Source organism: Homo sapiens, chromosome 4, assembly GCF_000001405.40.
Source record: "Homo sapiens chromosome 4, GRCh38.p14 Primary Assembly".
Taxonomy (NCBI): domain Eukaryota; kingdom Metazoa; phylum Chordata; class Mammalia; order Primates; family Hominidae; genus Homo; species Homo sapiens.
The window spans coordinates 177,594,520-177,616,711 of NC_000004.12; the positions used below are offsets into that span (position 1 = coordinate 177,594,520).

The 22,192-nt window shown below is 36.7% G+C and overlaps 1 long non-coding RNA gene across 18 annotated transcripts in view; it reads left to right on the forward strand.

The window, feature by feature from the left end:
• The window catches only part of AGA-DT (AGA divergent transcript), a 255,397-nt gene that overhangs the window by 152,006 nt on the left and 81,199 nt on the right, over positions 1–22,192 (forward strand). For 9 of the 18 annotated variants that reach the window (NR_183786.1, NR_183777.1, NR_183778.1 and 6 more), the window contains one exon: positions 1,942–2,012. The exons of 5 other annotated variants lie outside the window; for them this stretch is intronic. This is a non-coding gene — a long non-coding RNA (AGA divergent transcript). Of the gene's footprint in view, positions 1–1,941; positions 10,650–22,192 lie in introns of those variants that run through there. 4 more of the 18 variants (NR_183793.1, NR_183792.1, NR_183794.1 and 1 more) reach the window with 2 other exon arrangements.

Consider the following 22,192-nt stretch of genomic DNA (forward strand, 5'->3'; position numbering starts at 1 on the left):
ATTGAATAATATAAACCAGTACACATGTTATAAGCACCATATTATATGTCTCTGCACAAGACAGAAGAATGCATTTTCCCCCTCAAATAGACATTTAAGTTCTGAGAACAAAACAATACATAGGAAGTATTAGAGAGAGGAGGTTGGAGCCCCCACTGAACAACATGAAGCCCCTCACCTGTTTGTCCCCTGTTTGTCCTCTGTCACATCACCTTTTCAGTGAATTCAATACCAAGCCTTAATGCTGCAGTTAGACACTAAGCAATGATCTTTTGTTCATTAACTGTATACTCCTTGATGTTCAGCTCTCATTTACACAATGTCAATATGCTTCTTGCAGTTCTTTTTGCTCTTTCAAACAAACTATGACCTTTAATTGAAAGGAGAAAATTAGTTATGATACTGTGGCAGGAGATACCTTCTGGGACTTGAATTTGCCAGAAAAGATAGTAGCTAAGAGTTTGGTGCCGAGAAATCTGGGAGTAGAGAAAAAATAAAGTGGAAATAGAAGAAAAGTGACATGTGAAACATATTTATAATAAACAGATTAATATGAAATCTACATAAAGAGAATAGACTGACGCCTGAATATAGCATTCATTGTCTTCTGTCTCAAATTTTTATTTTCAAGGACTGACAGTAGGCTGCTTGTGTGTAATGATAACTGGCTTTTTTCCTTCCTTTTCTTTCTGAAATCATGCTGTTGGCGGTTAATCAGTCATAATAATAATGTTACAGTGTCCTCAGCACTTGTCCTCCTAAAAGCTTAAAGAACACAAAATGTCCTGGTTCACTCATTGGTTTTATTTTTCCCAAACTCCATATCCTTCCATTGCGCAGCCTCTGGGCCCAATTAAATGATTTTTAAAAATTAGGTTAGTAAAAAGAAAAAAATGGCTTGTTTTTTGTAGATGCAAAGACTAAATGGTCCCCCTACATTGAGGAGCTGACACAGACAATGATAACAGAAAGATGAAAAAGCAATAGAATCCTTGCATGTGCCCCCACCCGCTCCCCTTCCCTCTTATTCTTTGCAGGGACAAAAGAAGGCAGCATTCCTTTTTCCATCATCTGCTGTCACAATACTGACTGGCTTGCCTTGCAAAATTACCTCTAGAATGACACAGAATTTGTACCAAGTGCAGGCAGATGACAAAACTGAAGATCAAATAATATGCAATTGAGAAATGATTTTTAGGTGCTTTTCAAAGCATTAAAGGCTTCTAGGTATTGGCCCCGAATAGTGGTGTTTATTTCATGAATGCATGAAATGGATCTGGCAATTTTTCAATAATATTGACAAACATTACCTCCTCTTTGAAGCCTTCCTCAACTTGCCCAGCCAGAAAAAGTGGTCTAAGGACTGCTCTTATCAGAAGAAAGCTTTAGGCCAATATCTGATCATCTAAAGGACCTTGAAGGATTTAAAGTTACTGAATATTTGAAATAAAGGCCATCTGAAAATTCTGAAATATATGATCACTATCTATTTTATTCCATTTACCTATTGCGACGTGACAAACCAGCCCAAACTTAGTGACAAAATGTCAATCATTTTATTATGCTTAGACTTTCTGTGGATCAGAAATAAAGGCACATTGCAGGCGTGGTTTTCTCTGCTGAATGTCAGGGCCTACCCTGGAAAGCCTTGACTGGCTGGAGGTGACTCACACTTGTGAGTCATCTGCAGGTTTCTCCATCTGCGAGTTGGGTTCTTGGGCTGGGGTGACTGGCAGGCTCAGCGGGGACTGTCATCAGAGCACTTACTTGTCCTCTTCCCAGGAGGCTTGGCATTCTCACAGTACAGCTGCTGGCTCCCAGGGCCTGTGTTCTGAGAGGGAACATCCAGATAGTAGAGATTCCAGAAAGCCGGATAGAAACCTTATGCCTCAGGATCTTGCTTTGGAAGTCACATAGCATCACTTCTTCTGTTATCTACAGGTCAAAACAGTCACAAGCCTGCTCAAATTCGGAAAGAGGGGACGGAAATGGAACCTCTTCATGGGAGGAAGGTAAAAGAATTTGGTACCGTCTTTAAGACTACCACATTACACCGATGGCATCTTCTCCACACTTTTAGCACAGCCTCTCTGCAGCTCGATGATCTGCAGTTTGTTTTCTCTTCTCCCCAAGTGACTATGAGCTCATGCGGGGCAAAAATTATTTATAACCTTAAAAAATTATATCCTAAGAAACTGTTTATTAAAATGAGACACTATAAATATTGAATGAAGTTTACACACACACACACCTAGAGAAAATTACAATGCTAATAATCAAAGACAATCTAAAGTCTATGGTTTAATCTCTTACTTAAATACATTCATTTGCATTTGAGTAACTCGACAGTGATGCAGGGCAGGCGACCCCCGGAAACTGGGGTTTAGCCCACGAGGGTTATTGGCTTCACCCAGGAAAGAATTCAAGGGGGAGCCAGTGGTGTTAGACAGCAACTTTTATTGAAGCAGCAGCGTACAGCAGCGGCAGAGGTATTTCTCCTTGTGGAACAGGGCCACCCCATAGACAGTGAACTCAGAGTAGTGGCTGAGAGCCACTTCTGTAGTCATATTTATACCCACTTTTAACTACATGCAAATTAAGGCAGGATGATGCAGAAATTTCTAGGAAAAGGATGGTAACTTCCAGGTCGTTGGGTCACTGCCATGGAAAGGGGTGGTAACTTCCGGGTGTTGCCATGGCAATGGTAAACTGATGTAGCACACTGGTGGGCATATCTTACGTAATGTTGCTTTTGCCCCAGATGCCCTGGACCTTTTAACTAGTCCTCAATCTGGTCCAGTTTCCGAGTCCCTGCTCCAGAGTCGAGTACCACCTCCTACCTCAATGGGCAAGAGTCTAGAAAATTTAATCCTTAAACCTGGTAACTTACATAATTATTTTTGTTTGGATGCATTCTAATTGTTTCAAGGTTTTCTAGAGATGGACAATTGAGAAGGTGGCAGTCTTGCCTATTTCTAGCAAAATTTCATTAAATAAATGCTGGCAGACAACAACAAAAAAGCCCTAAAAAGAGTGTTTGTTATTTTGCCCTCCAGGTGCAGATTGAGATGTGACTTTTATCAATTAAGAAAATTGATCATAAGAAAAAGGAGATTGTGACTTAGAAGCTTTACCTCTAGATTTGTCGTTTATATTCAAAAGTACATTGACAGTCCTCTGTTCCTTGAACAAGACAACATGCCTCTTTGCAGAGCTCTTGCATTAGCTTTTCTTTTGTCGAGAATGCTTTTTCCATAGTATATACGTGCCTCATTCTGTCACTTTTTTTTTTTTTTTTTTTTGAGATAGAGTGTCGCTCTGTTGCCCAGGTAGAGTGCAGTGGTGCGATCTTGGCTCACTGCAACCTCTGCCTCCTGGGTTCAAGCGATTCTCCTGCCTCAGCCTCCCCAGTAGCTGGGACTACAGGCAGGTGCCACCATGCCCGGCTAATTTTTTTTAGTTTTTTTTTTTTTTAGTAGATACGGGGTTTCACCGGGTTAGCCAGGATGGTCTCAATCTCCTGACCTCGTGATCCACCTGCCTCAGCCTCACCTCCCAAAGTGCTGGGATTACAGGCGTGAGCCGCCGCGCCTGGCCTCTGTCACTTTTTAAAAACAACAGCTTAAATGTCAATGCATTGTCCTTTTCTAACTATACTTTATACAGTCGTTACTCCTATCAGTCTATCTAGTTTTGTCAGAGTATTTACCTAACAGAAAACTACTTATTTGTTTATTTATTTAAGTCAACCTCCCTTACTGGAATGTAAATTGCATAAGCATAGGGCCTTTCAGCTTTATCTTCTACTACCATTCTAGTTCGTAGTACAGTGACTGTTGCATAATAAACAATATACAATTGTTATATAAAAGAATGAGTACAAAGCATATAAAGACAACCTCCATTGTACAAGGGCATGGAGAAAATAAACAGTGATACATTTAATGAATTTATGTATTGAACAATTTTAAACATCACATCTAAAGAGCTTAACAAGTATTTGTTTTTATAGTTTTTGCTGAAGCACCAAAATAGAGGCAAAGTTTTGTAGAGGCCAAGTGCTACCTTATTCTCAAATGGAGTTTTAGATCATCCATGAATTACTTGCAAAAGGGACGTCCTGAAACTCTGCACCACTAGACCATCGTACACCTTTAATGAATTCTTAGATGCATTTTATATATGATGTATGTACATAAAAATGAATGAATTCATTAGAAGACATTTTAAAAATGGGAATTTCCGTGGACAAAGAGTTTTAGGAAAGTTGAGTATTTCTTTTGAAGCTACGTGAGGAGAGCTTTTGGAAAAGCACTAAGGAATCTTGATGCGTATGCTTCGTGCTTCTGTAGACACACAGTTGGCACCTGACTCAGATATAAAAAAGTCTCAAGGTTTTATTATCGCTGGCAGAGCAAGAGGAGAGATGGCAAGAGTGAGACACTGCAACCCACCCACTGATGTTGGGGCGAAGATGCCCTAGGCCAGACCTATAACACATAAATAGAAAGGAGCTGGACTTGAGGGACTTGATTTTGAACAGGACACTGTCAAAAGCCCCCACCTGGGAAACTGTACTAATAGCCCCCACCTGGGAAACTGTACTAATAGAAGAGTCAGCGTGGGGTGGTGTGTTAGTTTGTTTTGATGCTGCTGATGAAGACATACCCAAGACTAGGCGATTTACAAGAGAAAGAAGAGGTTGAATTGCACTTACATTTCCGCACGGCTGGGGAAGCCTCACAATCATGGCGGAAGGTGAGGAGGAGCAAGTCACATCTTAACGTGGATGGCGGCAGGCAAAGACACAAAGAATGAGAGCCAAGTGAAACAGATTTCCCCTTATCAAACCAGCAGATCTCACGAGACTTATTCACTACCACGAGGACAGCATGGGAGAACCCACCCCCACAATCCAACCATCTCCCACCACGTCCCTCCCAGAACACGCGGGAATTATGGGAGTACAATTCAAGATGATATTTGGGTGGGGACATAGAGCCAAACAATATCAGGTGGACTGCCAGTAAAAAGGGGCGGGCGTGTGTTAATGCTTTGGAGAAGGCATTGTGTCTCTGATAGGAACTACAGGTGAGAGAGAGATCCCAGCGACAGAAGGTCGCCAAGGAATCTGTGGGAGAGGAAATAAGAATTTGCCTGTCTGTTCCCAGTTGTTTGAGACTGGGGAGAAGACGATGAGAAAAGTTTTAAATTGGATGAGAGGTTGATACTCAGATATTAGGCAGAAAGGAACTTTTATACCCCTGAAAAATGAGAGTTCTTCTTAATAACTAACTAGAAAAAAATGTCAGATCGGCCTAATATTTCATCTGGGGATAAATAAGGACAGTTCAAAATTAGAAAGAGCAGTAGTGAGGAAAAAAAAATGGTCACTCTCTGCTTTTAACCTGACAACTCTTATTCAGTCAATTTAAATGTTATACAGGTTTTAGATAAAATACTAACAAGTAAAACACCTATGATAGAGTTCTGAGTAAAATGTACAGCATTCTGTACTTCATAAAGAATATAAACTCAAGTTTATTATATATATTACATGTTCTCTCTATATTCTTTCTATATAATCTATTATATGTGTTTTCTCTAATAGTAATTAAAAAAACCCCACACATACAGGTATCTATAGAAAAAATTGGATGCTGACACACTTACCTAATGTTAAGACAATTTTTTCCCCAGGGATTGATTTAAGTTTTCTTCTTTATATTTATTTCCTCTGGCCCTGGAGGCAGTGTATACTTTACTCATTCTTTGATGCAAATGCTTTTTTTTTTTTTTTTTTTTCAGACGGAGTCTCACTCTTGTCGCCCAGGCTGGAGTGCAGTGGTGCTATCTCAGCTCACTGCAACCTCCTCCTCCTGGGTTCAAGCGATTCTCCTGCCTCAGCCTTCCAAGTAGCTAGGATTACAGGTGCCCGCCACCACGCCCTGCTAATTTTGTATTTTTCGGTGAGACAGGTTTCGCCATGTTGGCCAGGCTCATCTTGAACTCCTGACCTCAGATGATCTGCCTGCCTCAGCCTCCCAAAGTGCTAGGATTACAGGTGTGAGCCACTGCACCGGGCCGCAGGTACTTTTTTGAATCCTTTGAAGGTGTCTGTTGGAAAATGTGATTACACTTCCCAGGAAGCAGGTGATAATCTCTCCCTAAGCCCCTTGACAATGGATGGTCCAGCCTCCTGTTGGGGTTGCTTGGTCCTTTGGCATGATTTAAAATTTCTTAGGCAAATTTTTATTTTCAGGTAACCACTCGCTGGTTGATGAGAACCACCTGCATGCTGTTGCCCCTGCTGATGAGGGAATTCTAGCTGGTTCCAGGGCTGCTTGTGCTTTCTCTGCACAGTACTTTCTTGTTATTACCATGGCCTCTTGCCTTTATTTCATAGGCCTTTGTCAGACCCTGGGTAACAGTTTTCCTAAATATCCAGGGCTCCAGGAGGCCCTTTTTCTAGGCTTAAAACTCTCCTAACTTCTTCCCAGTCGGGAAATTGAGACTTAGAGCAGACCAACAACTTTCTCCTAAAATAAATCACCTCCTCTATCTGCAGCCTAGGTCAGCTTCTCTAACTCTTTTACCAGCTGGAGGCCAGTGATCTGCTAAGGTCATATGTGTGCACGTGTTGCTGGGTGAGTCTAGCTTTCTATAGGCTATGGGAGTGGTTGACATACATTTCCTAGGACTTCGTCATACACATAATGGAAATAATTCCATGTGAGCATACCATTTTTAGCTTACTAAATCCAAAAGTATATTAAAAGGTACTTTATGATAAATAGAAGAATAGAAGAATATTTTCACTTTGTAAAAGTTTTCAATGTTCTAATTCACTCATTAACAGTAAAAATCACATAAATATCTTGATAGATGCTGAATAAGAATTTTATAAAGCTCATTATTTATTTTAAAAATTGAAACAAACAACTTATAAAGTTGAATTTCTACCATATTATGTATTTTTTAAATTCTCATAAAATTGAATGGAAACTTCCTTAATGTGTTAAAAGCTTATACCAAAATATAATGTAAATATAAATAATTGATGCATATACATCAAATATCACATTTAAAGATTAGATACATTATCTTAAATTGGGAGCAAAACAAATGTCCAATTTTAATTATTGGATTTCAATAAATCACTTGAGATTAGGGCTAATTCTTTGGAATTCATGTAAAAGAAATATGGATTTTGAAAATTTTGAGAAAAAAATAAAACATTATAACTCTATGATTACAGAGATATGATCTGCATGAAATCCTAGTAGAATTAACAAAGAATGAGTGTTAATAAGAGAACTGAACAAGTTTGCTAAACATGAGGTCAACTTTCTCAATTCTTCAGCATTCATTTAAGTAAGTAATGCCAACCAAAACAAAAAATAATGTAATATAAAACAATAGCAACAAAATTTTAAAAGTATTTAGAAATTAACCTTGGAAAGAAATCTATAAACCTTTATAATAGAAATTTTAAAATTGTAATAAAGGAAATTAAGGAAGACCTAAATAAATGTGGAAATCTATTATGTCTTTATTTAAAAATATAAAAGTTTTTATTCCAAAATAAATGTATAAGTTCAATGTAATTTCAATAAAGATTCAGTAGTACCTTTGAGGAACTGAACGTATATACGTATATACAAAATACACAGATACAAAAATATCTGTGAAAAAGTCAGCTGACAGAAGAGAAACAGGATATCTTCTTAGTGATATATAAATGTATTACAAAGCCTAAGTAATAATAATATAGGAAATAAAGAGTGAAAATATTAATGTAACAAAATAGAGTTCAAGAGCAGACCCCTTGATCTGGGAACTAGATAAAGATGAAAGTGGTATCATGTTCAGTGGCAAAAGGTTGAATGGTTCATAAATTGTTTTGGGAAAACAGACTTACAAAGTATAAAAATAAAATTGGCCTTCTATTTCATAGCATATACAAAGGAGGACTGCTGATTGATTAATGATTTAAATGCAAATAGTAAAACCATAAAAAATAATGGGGCTATGGAGACTTCATTACAGAACCTTAAAAGCACAATGTATATGGATTTAACTGCAATGGATTTATCAACATAAAAATTCAGGATATTTTTCCAGCAATGAATATTACAAAAAATATTAACAGATGGACGACAGATTGGGAGAAGATATTTGCAAAGGGTTTAATATTAAAACTATACAAAGAATGTCTTCCAAGTAACCAAAAAGATGAAAAAATTAGTAAGGAAATTGGCAAAGGATATAAATGGCACAAAATGACTGAAAATTATGTGTATAGATGTGCAACCACATTAGTAATCAGATAAATGCAAAATAAAATAAAATACTACTTCACAGTTATTGGAGTCCCCAAATGGAAAAGAAGCTGTGTTGATAAGAATATGGAGAATTGATGCTTGTCATCCATAGCTTATGGGAACATAGAGTGGTGCAGCCTTTCTGGAGGAAATTACATGGTGGATTTACAAATGCTTATATCGTACTACTCAACAATGTGATCTTTGTTATTTTATTCTGGAAAAATCTTGCCCCCATTCCAAGCAGGGACATGTTTTGTGGAAATAGGTAATTGGAGGCAACATAGCTATTATTATTAGGGGAATGAATAAAAGCAAAATGTGTTGATTACACACTATGGTTGTAGTAGTCTGTTTTCATGCTACTGATAAAAACATACCTGAGACTGGGAAATTTACAAAACAAAGAGGTTTAATTGGGCTTACAGTTCCACATGGCTGGAGAGGCCTAACAATCATGGCGTAAAGCAAGGAGGAGTAAGTCACATCTTACGTGGATAGTGGCAGGCAAAGACAGAATGTACCAGCAGGGGAAATGCCAGATGCTTATAAAACCATCAGATCTTGTGAGAACTCATTCATTATCATGAGAACAGTAAGGGGGAATAGCCCCCATGATTCAATTATCTCTGCCTGGCCCCACCCTTGACACCTGGAGATTATTACAATTCAAGGTGAGATTTGGGTGGGCACACAGAGTCAAACCACGTCAATGGTATTCATAATCAACATGTCTGATCTTAAAAACTTCATGTTGACTAAATAAATAGAAAAGAGAATATTGATAGCATAGTAATAATTACAAGTACCTTCACAAAACATTATCCTTGTTTTAGAAAAAATTCTCATACTGAAAAAAAAACCAAAAACATGAAATCAAGCATTTATTCCATTGATAGATGAATGGGGGTAGGACTCAGGGAGGAAGGTGAGAAATATAAGATAAAATATATAATAAAATAAAATAAAACAAAATGGGACCTTTAAGACTGATGGTGAACATGTATCATGATTTATGTGAAATGTTTAATTCAGTTATTTGGACCTGTGGTAAAAAATCAAATACCAAGGGGTAAAAATTAAATGAAATTTTATTTTAATGCACAGGAAAATTGATCATGCAGACAGGTCCTATTCTACTATCAATCTCTTTTTAGGAAATCCCTTTACAAACAGTAGACTGTTGAGCATTGTTTCTTCACATTTTCTGTATGTGAAGATTTAAAATATTAGGCATTTTTGAATATGGAATTGATAATGTATGGTGAAGGCAATTTGTGTGTTTTTACAATGCTATCCAATACACAATGAGTATGTAAAACATTTCTGTCAACTTCAAGTGTGCCATTTTGTTCTATTACTTGCCAATATTTTCACTGCATGAAACTAATTTGTTTCTGAGGAGTTGGTGACTTTCTGTAACATATTTTATGGACAATCCAAAACAATCCATTAAGCACTCCCTCCCCACACTCCCTGTTTTTCTGTTGACATTCAGATTCAACACATTTATAAAATTAAGGACTGTTTTGCCAATCTCAGGTACCAGGTGTACTACACTTTGAGGGTTATTTATTTTCTTCAAAGTCAGACTGGATTTTGGCCCATACATCATTTGAACTTCTCTCCTTGCATTATTTGTCTATAGGAGAAATATTGATTGGAAAAGCAGTGTAGAATAAAGTTAAAGTTAGGTATCCTATATAATTTTTCCTAAATAATTAAAAATGTTTTTTTAAAAAGTGATGTTAAAATTGTTAAGTAAAATCCAATATGACTGATTCCTGTATTGACTTCCCAAGGATTAAAATCTCATTAGATAAGCATGTAATATGTCTTACATGATAAAGTATCCATAAGAGTAGCTAATAGTTTTCTTAGCATGTAACATTCAAAACTGAGCAATTAATAATATGGAGTGAGCAGTAGCTAACAGTATTTAAATTTAATGAAACCTTCACAAATTCATGTTCTTCCATTTCACAGAAGGAGAAAAAGCTGATATTTAACAGTATTCAGTTTTTTGGGGGAATACTTTTTAGGAGTAATAATATTTTCTAAGTGCTTATTCAAGATAAGTTTTACATTATGGGAAAATGCAAGTTATTAATTCTCATTAGATTTATTTAGTGTTCTGTCACTCTTACATTTTTGGAGATTTTCCTAATAAGATATGTATATTTTGGCATCCAACCTCTCAATATCTTGCATGGTATTTAATATTGATATAGATATTCCTTTTTGTTATCCTGGAGTTTGAAAATGCCAGCTTGTGGTATGTCCTTTGTATATTATGAATTAAAATATTTGCCATTCTTTAAAATACCATGTTATCCATGATTCATCTTTTATTAACATTAAATCCACAGACTGCCATAAGCATAGTCTTATCACAGTTTCTTCTCACCTAAGTATTTAACAATATAAATCAATGTGTTAGACGTTCTTTCATGTGCTACTAGGGAAAAATAACTGGCTTTTAAATGATTTTTAGTTGTAATTATAACAATAGCTACAGTTCTTCTCCTGATGGCTTTTTTTCCCAGGTGGCCTATTTTTATCCTGACATTTTTGTCCATCCTATGAATTTCATCATAGGGAAGGAACAGCAGTTTGTCTTAGAGCAGCTCAATTTCAATCTCCAGGTGACAAGCTGATATTTCTTTCCTTTGAAGAAGCTTTTAATATGATGGGTTAAATGTCAAGGAAGAAAAAAACCATCATATATTGAACCTTGATAACCTCATTTCTCTTAACATATTGACATTTGATTTTTAAAAAATGTTCTATTTTTTAACAGATGTCAAGATTTTTAAATAATGCATTTATTTAGGTATCTTGCACCTTGTTACAAGTCATTTAGGGTAAACACATTATTTTGGTGAATACAAAAGAAATAAAGGTATTTACTCATCTTCAGCTGATAGTGTAAAAAGAAAAACTGAATTATTACACTAAAAATTCTGTGATAGATTGTATTCATTTTAGTTTAAAAATGGTATCTACTATGAATAACATGAAGGAGTCAAAAGACTGGAGTTAAAGAAGAAATAACTTCTATTTATTAAATGGTAAAAAGAAAGTAAGTTACAAACAGGAGAGTTTAAAATGGTTTCTTACACTGGCTTCTGAAATAGATTTTACATTACTTTTTTTTAGAGACACAACTATTTAAATATTGAGAAAATAGAACATTATATGTTTACCGTTTACCTAAGGCCATTAATTATACAACAAATATTAAATGTAGTAATGTGTCTAGAATTGGTGGGTTCTTGGTCTCACCAACTTCAGGAATGAAGCCAAGGACCCTCACAGTGAGTGTTACAGTTCTTAAAGGCAGCGTGTCCGGAGATTGTTCCTTCTGATGTTCGGATGTGTTTGGAGTTTCTTCTTTCTGGTGGGTTCGTGGTCTTGCTGGCTCAGGAGTGAAACTGCAGACCTTCGCGGTGAGTGTTACAGCTCTTTAGGTGGCACGTCTGCAGTTGTTTGTTCCTCCCAGTGGCTTCATGGTCTCACTGGCTTCAGAAGGGAAGCTGCAGCCCTTTGCAGGGAGTGTTACAGCCCATAATGGCAGTATAGACCCAAAAAGTAAGCAGTAGCAAGATTTATTGCAAAGAGCAAAAGAAGGAACCTTCCACACTGTAAAACGGGACGCCACCAGATTGCTACAGGGGGCTCGGGCAGCCTGCTTTTATTCTCTTATCTGGCCCCACCCACATCCTGCTAATTGGTCCATTTTACAGAGAGTCGATTGGTCTATTTTACAGAGAGCTGATTGGTCTGTTTTGACAGGGTGCTGATTGGTGCATTTACAATCCCTGAGCTAGACACAAAAGTTCTCCACTTCCCCACTAGATTAGCTAGATACAGAGTGCTGACTGGTGTATTTACAAACCCTGAGCTAGACACAGAGTGCTGATTTGTGCATTTACAAATCTTGAGCTAGATACAGAGTGCTGATTGGTGTATTCACAATCCCTTAGCTAGACATAAAGATTCTCCAAGTCCCCACCAGATTAGCTAGATACAGAGGGCGGATTGGTGCATACACAAACCCTGAGCTAGACACAGGGTGCTGATTGGTGTGTTTACAAACCTTGAGCTAGATACAGAGTGCTGATTGGTGTATTTACAATCCCTTAGCTAGACATAAAGGTTTTCTAAGCCCCCACTAGACTCAGGAGCCCAACTGGCTTCACCCACTGGGTCCCGCACCAGGGCCACAGGTGGAGCTGCTTGCCAGTCCCGCACCTTGTGCCGGCACTCCTCAGTCCTTGGGCGGTTGATGGGACTGGGCGCCACGGCGGAACAGGGGGCGGCACTCCTCAGGGAGGCTCTGGCGGCACAGGAGCCCACGGTGGGGGGGTGGGGGGTGCTCAGGCATGGCGGGCTGCAGGTCCGGAGCCCTGCCCTCCGGGGAGGCAGCTAAGGCCAGGAGAGAAATCGAGCGCAGCGCTGGTGGGCGGGCATTGCTGGGGGACCCAGTGCACCCTCCGCAGCTGCTTGCTGGCCGGGGTGCTAAGCCCCTCACTGCCTGGGCCTGCTGACCACTCTGAGTGCAGGGCCTCGGAGCCCACACCCACCTGGAACTGGCGCTGGCCCGCAAACGTCACGGGCAACCCTGGCGTCACGGCCCGCACCTCTCCTTCCACGCCTCCTGGCAAGCTGAGGGAGCTGGCTCCAGCCTCAGCTAGCCCAGAAAGGGGCTCCCGCGGTGCAGCGGTGGGCTGAAGGGCTTCTCAAGCGTGGCCAGAGTGGGCGCCAAGGCCGAGGAGGTGCTGAGAGCAGGGGAGGGCTGTGAGGGCTGCCAGCACGCTGTCACCTTTCAGTAAGCCCCTTACCAAGCTTGAAAAGTAATTTCTTTTCAGTTTTACAGCATAAAAACAAAATCAGGTGCCGCAGGAGATGTGATTCATGACTCTTACATAGCTTTAAAATGAGGAGGAGATATGGGAGGTTTTTAGCCTCTTAAATAAATGCTGCAAGTATAGCTTACTCCATTTATTCTTTCTAACAATCGCTATACACACAAACACAAGTATGAACACATATAAGATGTGTAGTCTATACTTTTAGGATAGTAGCCACTAGCCACATGTAACTACTTAGGTTTAAATTTAAATTCATTAAATTTAATAAAATAAAAAGTTCGTTTTCTCATTTTCCCATTTTAAGTGCTCAAGAATCACCTGTGGCTGCTGGCTTCCCGATTGAACGGTATAGGTCTAAAACATTTCCATCATCGCAGAAAGTTCTATTGGACAGTGCTGCTAATTGATTTCTCAGTGTGGAAGGAGGTGTCTTTAAACACCTTTGATTCTTTCATAACATTACATTCAATATTTTAATATCTAGTCATACATATTTTCTGCTGTTATGGAGCTACAGTATGCATCCATGAACTTTTCACAAATTTCTACTTAAAAAAATCAATACCACTATGTACTATCAAGTTCTTAAAAATTTAAGAACTTAAAAATTAATGTTTAAGAAAATTTAAAATTTAAGTTTAAGAACTTAAATAACAGGACAGCTTAACCACTCATCACATCATAGAGTAAAGAAGATACACTTTCTTAGGAGAAATAAAAAAGATTAAGTATTCATGATTGGTTACTGCTGTGGTTTGAATGTCTCCACCAAAACACATGTTAAATTTAATTGCCAATGTAACAGTATTGGGAGGTGGGGCTTTTAACAGGTGATTAGCTTATGAGGGCTCCACCTTCATGAAAAGGTTAATGCCCCGATGGAAGCAGTGGGTCAGTTATTACAGGAGTGGGCTCCTAATAAAAGTGCAAGGTGGACTTATCTCTCTATCTTGTGGAAGGGTGCCTTCCACCCTTCTGCCATGGGGTGCCATTCACCAGATGCCAGGGCCATGCTCTTGGATGTCCTAGCATCCAGAACCATGTGCCAAATAAATTTCTTTTCTTCATAAATTATCCACTCTGCAGTATTCTGTTACAACAGCAAAACACAGACTAAGACAGTTATTTACTTTGCAATTAACCTTTAAAAAATTAGTCATTCTTTCATTTGTTTGAAGGCAAGATTTTGTTGTTTGAATTTGTGGCCTCTACTGAAACTTCTCTTCGAATAATTTTTCTTCAGACTGTGTTATTTTGTAATTGCATAAGGAGTCTGACATTCTAAAGAATGCTTTGAGGGAATTATCTTTTTCTAATCTGAAAAATTATTGGTAATAAGGGCCATGGTAATTTCAATTTCAGTTTCAACAGAATATTTATTATATTAAAACACAAGGGGCACAATTTACAAGGCTAGTATGATATATTAGGTGTAGTTTAAAAATGATAAAGTGCTTTAACTAAAAGTTATTTTATATCAACTTAATTCTCTATCAAAGTAAGTAACTTTATCTCTATCAGAGAAAAGTTAAACTGAAGTTCAGAAAGGTTATCTAAATTAATGTAAGTTGTGATTGCAAAGTAAGGATTTAAGCTTATGTCCTCCAAACTTGAAGTCCTGTTTTTCAATTCTATAGCTGTGGTGTGCTGGTAAACCAGCTCGTAAAATTAAAAAAAAAAAAAAAATTAGTGCTTTGCCACATCTGCTGACTTTTGTGATGTAAGTACTCCCACTGTGGCTAAATTTAAGCTACGAATGATTTAAAAAGCGGCTACAAAATTGTCAAATATTTCATTATTGCCTGTCCTGAGTCAGTCTGAGTGACTGCAGCACCCCAGTGCCACTCTGCTTTTCTAATATACAGAAAAATTGTGAGTGAAGGGGAGTAGGTGGAAGAACATTGTAGAATTATGGAGAGTCACCCTTTTCTGCTCCTGAATTTTATTACATAGTATTTTCAACGAGGGAGATCTATCTGAACATTCATCCAACTATGATTATTGAAGGTAATAAAAATACATATCTATAATTATTTTCTATTGGAACTTTGTTGCATGGTACAACAGATTCTAAAAGAAAAAATCTAGTGTACTATCATTTTCAATGAAAATTCAATTTGATTCTCTTTTGTGCTCTCTCAACAAGCTGATGCCAGGCTGGCGTCCAACCACAGGTAAAGAATAATGCTGAATGATCAAGTAAAACATAGGAACAACCACATGCATATCTTGATATTACATGTCTCCAATGATGAGACTTTGTCCTCAGAACAGAGGAGATAACTTTCGACTCAACTGACCATGCTATCTAATAACTATCATAAAGAACAGCATACCATTATACAATGTTAAAACTATTGGTTTTGTTTTTACAGATGTTCTCCAAATTATAATTGCAAATAATCATTATTAAAAATTGCACTTAACAGGCCAATTTGTTCAATTACATGCATGCATATTTTGGTGTTAACTGAATTCTCTAGGTGCAATGTTGAGGCAATGTTACCCTAAATCTAATACAGCATTCCACAGAAGAGATGATCTTTGATTGAAGTGAGAGCCTGGTAAAACCTCAAAAACATTCTCAACTAAAATGATCTCTATCATGCTCAAATGTCCCTGCACATAAAGCCACCCACGAAGCATATTAAAAAAGGCGGTTCTGTAGGCTCCACTGCAACGGACTCTGAAGGAGTACGTTTAAAGAATGGTTGAAGAACATGTACTTTCCACAATCACACCATATGGATTTGATGAAAGTTTAAGCTTCTACTGAAATAGAATTAAAATAGAAGAAAATTAGGTATCCAAACTTCACTAACTTTAGGCCTCTAAACACATAGTTTTCTAGTTCTTAAAGACTTTATATCGCCTTAAGTACATTTCCTTAGATCCTCTTTTCCTGCTTTTAAATTTTGTTTGCATTCCAGTTCACCTTTTATTATGCACATTATACATCGCTTTTCAGTAAAACCTGTCTTGACCCACCCCCGAGTAAATTTACCTCTCCTCTTTCATTGCATATGTAAAATCTGCATTTATTCTAGCATCTATTGCACTCCAGTGTCCTTTCGTTTGCTTCGTTTTGATCCGTAAGGGCCTGCAGCCTTCTTGAGATCAGGGATCCTGTTCATTTTGTGTTCCCTATCAGTGACTTGTCAAATATGTCGAACAGATGTCTGAACAAATCAGCTTACCTGCTACCAAAATTGCCTCACAGAGTTAGGCTTTATTGTTGGGTTCTTAGGCCATTAAACAAAAAAAATCCTGGTACACATTTTAAAGGCATCCCCTATTTAAAAAAAGTGACCAACATATTTCTGCGCGTTCTTTATGTAAGAACTCAGTTAATAAACTTCTTTTAGAAAAGCTTTGTCCCTCTTAAGGAATTCATATTATTATGAATTCACAACTCTGCCTATCCAGGTTTGAACCGTGTTTCCATCAGTTACCCTCTGAGTGACCTCAGGCGATTTGTTTAGGATATCTGTGCTTCAGTTTTCTTATCTTTTAAATGGGGCTAAGCTGGGCACATTGTCTAGTGCCTCTGTAATCCCAGCTACTCAGGAGGCTGAGGTGGGAGAATCCCTTGAGCCCAGGAGCTGAAGACCAGCTTGGGCAACACAGGGAGAATTGGTCTCTAAAAAATAAAATTAAAAAAGAAAACGGGGCTATAATCATAAGCACTTCTTGAGCTTTGACTAAATTAATATATGAAAATAACTTATAATAGTAAGAAAACATTGTAAATGTTGACTATTATTTCTTTTTAAAAATTTTGAGGCTTATATTTCTCACATTATTTTTCTTATTCAGGTTTTGAAAACATTTGAAGGTAATATTAATACCATTCACAGTAACTGACCACATCAGTATGTTTGCTTTCTTCTGCTTCTTCCTATTTTAATATGATGTTTCTGCACTGCCTGGTTTATGGTATACCTGTGAGATGCCCACTGTATGCCTTGATCTTTTATTTCAAGTTGTCTTGAATAACTTGCAGAACATCTAGAGAGCAAATTATTAATAAATACTAAATAGCCTTGGATATTTTACCTTTTAATGTATGTGCATATGATCTTTACATATATATATATATATATATATATATATAAATTTTTTCCTGTCTATATTCTCACTCATCAGATGTCACTTTTTGCATTTGTCAATATATTCTACCTAACCTCTCCACCCTAATTTGTTGCTGTGCTTTGGGAAAACCAAATAATCACATAGCCATCAGCTGTGTTTATCTCAGAAAGGACTTTTCGAAGTCTTTAATCTTAGTGAGTAGCACAAATGACATTTTGCTTGCATTGTTGGATAACTTTGGTAGCTATCACCTGATTTAAATAGATGGGTTTGACAGATAAATAATATTGGATCATAAATGAGACATTAAGGCTAACTTTATTCATTTGTAGCAGCTGTTTCCTTTCCCAAAGCAAAGTCCAAGAAAGTATAAATAACAGGATTTGAAGATGATAAGCAGCAATAAGCAGTCACTTTGGAAATGTCCTCAACAGGACATAAATCAATAAGTTAATAAAAATATCATGTTTCATGGATAACAGGAGCAGGAAACATACATTAAAAAAACTTTCAATACATCAAAAAAGATGGGATATAACTGAATTCCTAGAGATGAAGAGAAAAACCAACCTCTGATTTCAGTTTCCTGAAGTTTTCGTTGGCCGACTTTTAATCATTTACTCCAGGCACATTGATATTAACAGTATCATTGTTGAGTTCCCTCCCCCTCCAGTCCTAGACTAGCTTTAGAAGGGGACCGTCCCAGCACACCTTCTCCTCAGAACCGAGTGGAAGCTTTAGTTGATGTGCAAATGTGCCACATTGTTTAACAAGAAATGTTGGATTTATTAAAAAAAAAATGAGTGAAACTGAAGCCTCTGGGCAAAAGGAACTGGGAAGGAAACTGAAAAAGAAAAAAAGGATGGTTGTGATTAACAACAAAACAATTTCACTTAAAATAATGAGGAAAGACATCCATTGTTTAGTTAGAAATAGAAGCCCAGATTGGCTGAGCTAAGGTGGCACCAGGAAAGACAGAATTGGAGCTTATTTTTTCAATTTTCTATTTCTGTATCTAAGAAGTTACTTTCCTCGTAAGTTTGAGTATGGACACAACTGTAATACAGTGTATATTGGCATGGTTCCTATACTTCCAGGTTGCTCAAATCCAGGGTCAGTTATGTTCGTCATACAAGCATAAGAAGGTGAAATTAAAACATTTTCCTGGGAAACTGATATGTGAGGAAATGTTAGAAATAGGATTAGAGTTAAACATTTCACCCATATTTACCCCACCTATCCTCCTCAACAGTCCCCAACATATTTACAAAGTCTGTTTTTGCTTCAAAGAAGGAGGAATTTAGCAAATTATTATTTTGATGAATATATATTTATTCCTTCTCATCACCCCATAATTGGTTAAGTCCTGGGCACTGATCCCTTTATTTGTTGCTGCAGAATCCTTCCAGATCCTTCCTTGGGTCTACTAGTCTGCAATTCCTAATAAAGATGTTATTCATTTATTTTTGTAAATATGTTTGTATTTGCTCAGACTTCTGGGATCTTATGATTCCTCAACGAGTCTTTAAATATAGGAGGTAATGGCAGTGAGATTGAATCAGTAGTTTCTGAGTGCGCTGGGGTAAACTTCATCAAGTCTAGATTACCTGTAAGCATGGAGTTTGACTAAGTAGTCTCTCACCTGTTAAGCTGCTGTTTGCAATTGCTTTGCTGTCAGTGTTCAAATTTATGTGAAGCCTGCAATCACACTTAATTCATTTTGGGGAGAGGAAAGAAAATACAATTTAAGATCTAACATTCTAGATTTCCTCTTTCATATATTTATTTAAAAATATTTGTTAATTTCCTTTAAAGGGAATGTTGTATGCCTATGCACAGCTATTTTTATACAACAGAAAGTGAGAAAGAATTTTGGGTAAGATTAAGAGTGACACCATTGGAGCCAAATGTCATGGGTTCAGAATCTTAGCTTTGCCACTTTGTTTGTGTAATCATGTTTGCTCATTGTTTTTCTGTTTCCCCATTTCTAAAATGTGGTCCTAGTGGTATGTACCTCACATCTACTTTATAGGGTAATTGCAATAATTAAATGAATTAATGTATAGAGCAGCTGGTTAGTGCTATGTACTATTGTTTAATAAATAGTGCTATGTAACTATTTAATTCTTATTTAAATGTCATACGATGTGTGTATATATGTATGTAAAATATTATATTCTCTATATACATACATATATACATACCTACGTACAGACATGGCATTTTTTTTTCTTGTGTGTTGCTCCTTATAGTATATACTGAAATATGTATTATAGATGTTCAAAAGATAAACTAAAATATTTTAAAAGAATGAGTATGACTCTCACAAAAATATAAAAAGAATACATGCTGAATATTTTATTTGACTTACTGATTCATGAGAGAACCAATAAGACATTAAGACTGATTCAAAGAAGGATTCAAAATACATACACATACATACATATAGGCCATCAGGGATGATTATTAATAAATTGTCTTACTGATATACACATGTACGTAACTAATTATACATATGCTTATATATGTAACAATCAGCTCTTTATCTGCCTATCATTTTGTCTATAATTTTATTTCCTTAGCATTTTGCTAATTATTGTGTACATTATATGTGGTCTCTGGATGCTTATAAACCTTATTTTTAATTTGTCCTCACTTTCCTTTGTGTAATATAAATTTGAGTTTTAGTTTCAGAGAACTTATCGCTTGGCCAGGATGATTTCCTGCAGTGTATTTCATTCATTGTCATGATTCTGCTTATGCATCTAATAATGCTTCTATTTACAAATTTACCTATTCTCCTTTTTTTCTCCAATCCTTGAAATCTTTTCTGTTGTTTCACCATGCTAACATTTGCATTTTCCAAGGACATTTGCTTTTCTTTTTGCAATTTTTCATCATCTTTATGTATAAAACCCTAGTTTTTACTCCCCTATTTTTAGAATATGTTAAAATGTTAAATTGTCTTGTTCTTTTTGCTTTGTGTCTTTGCACAGTGTACACCCTAAGCATTTGTTAAACCCTTCTATCACATACCCAATGTCCATTTACATTTAGCTCTAGGAAAATTTTTCTCACTTTACCAAGTGTCTTCTCGAACTTTCATGCAAAATCTACATCACTGACACAGAAGACTTTTTTGCTTCGTACTCTACTTCTAGTGATATTTGAAAGATATCTCACCAAGAGTTTTATTACTCATTATCATTGCTTTAATTATGTATTCCTATAATTCTTTTGTGAATGTGATTAAGTATCCTCTTTTCTCATTATTGTTCCTGGTACAACTTCTAAAATCTGCATCAGCTGATTCCTTTCTCCATCATTACAATTTAAAATCACCTCTTGACTGTGTTCATCATTCACTGAAATTATTTCAAAGTCCCTTCCTTGGATTAATGACTCCTTCTTGCCTTGTTCTGCGCTCTCCTTTCTTTGAGAGATAAATAGGTAAGTAGCCCATTCCATAATCATCAACTCGTGAGATTAGAAGATAATACTAGAAGTTATTTAGAGTTGATCCCCTTGATTCCAGATGGAAGGGAGGATACTGAAACTTTCCGAGTCTGATGGTTATCTCTTCAGAAGGAGATTTGGGAACATCTTCTGTGAATAAATTTATTTCTATGCTGTGATGCAGAGTTACTAAAAGTGAAGGTTCAATTAACAGCTACAAATTCAAGTAAGTTTAAATCACATTACTGCCAATTATCCTTTGCTGGTACGTGCCAAAGGGGAATATTAACCAGAAAATTAGCACATTGAATGTTTCATTCATATACAAATCAAATTCGAGCAAGATGTCTCTTCCAAGGAGAAATAGCAAGACATGTATCCTTCGCTATCTTTGTAGGACAAGAGATTTGGTAAGGTACTAGTTTTTAGAAAAAACAAAACAAAACAACTATGAACCTTTTAAATAATTTTGTATTTGTTTTGTGACATTATTTAATTGTTGTAAAGGCAGAATATTTCCAGAGTTGACATTTATAAGTTTTCTACCTACTTCGTTATCTATCTTGTAACACATAATAACTTTATTTATTTGTGACTTATTACATCAACAGGAGGACAATTTCCTTTTTAATTTTTTCTTTCTTTTTTGGGGGGAGTAGTCTTACACTGAAATTGAGTGGTAGATAAAAACAATTCAGGGAGAAGCATCAAAAGTTTGCAGTGTATTAATCAATAGTAAGAAACATTCTTACAGCTTTTTCTTACCTTTGACTTTTATCTACTCTTTTTTTCTCTTGCTGAAATAGCTAATGTCCCCTATTCATCTATCAATGTTTTAAAACTCTATTGAACTATCACCTTTTCCGGGAAGTGTTCTCTCAGTTTGTTTTGACAAATCTTTCTGCACTGTCACCCAGTGTGTGGGTTTCTCATTGCACTGTGGTTAGAATGGCTTGTCTATGGATCAAACTGCGGTACTCAGCTATGAAGTCCTTTGTTGGTGGGATGATTCTTGATTATCCCTGCATCTTTGAGGACTAACACTGCATCAGACATTTGGTGAATAGAAATTTATTTATATTTGATAAGTAGAATTCTGACCCACAGTTTTCTGTTATTTTGGTCAAAATAACATTATCACATTAAACAAAAGCAATATTGCATAAGTGATACAGAGGTTTAACAAACTCATAGGGCATATGCAATGGAGAAATCAAAACAAAAGAACAATCAAAACAAAAGCAACAACAAAGAGACAAAATAAAACAAAAACAGGAAGAGAGAGGCAAGAATAATTAAAATAAGTGAATTTGCTAAACCCTACATGAACTGCTACAGATTTGGTAGGTGTTTGTGCCAAAGACATGAATCAGCTATCTTTAGTTTTGTAAAATTGATGTAGGAAGGACATTATGGGGAGGAGACATCAAGAATTCTCACAATTCA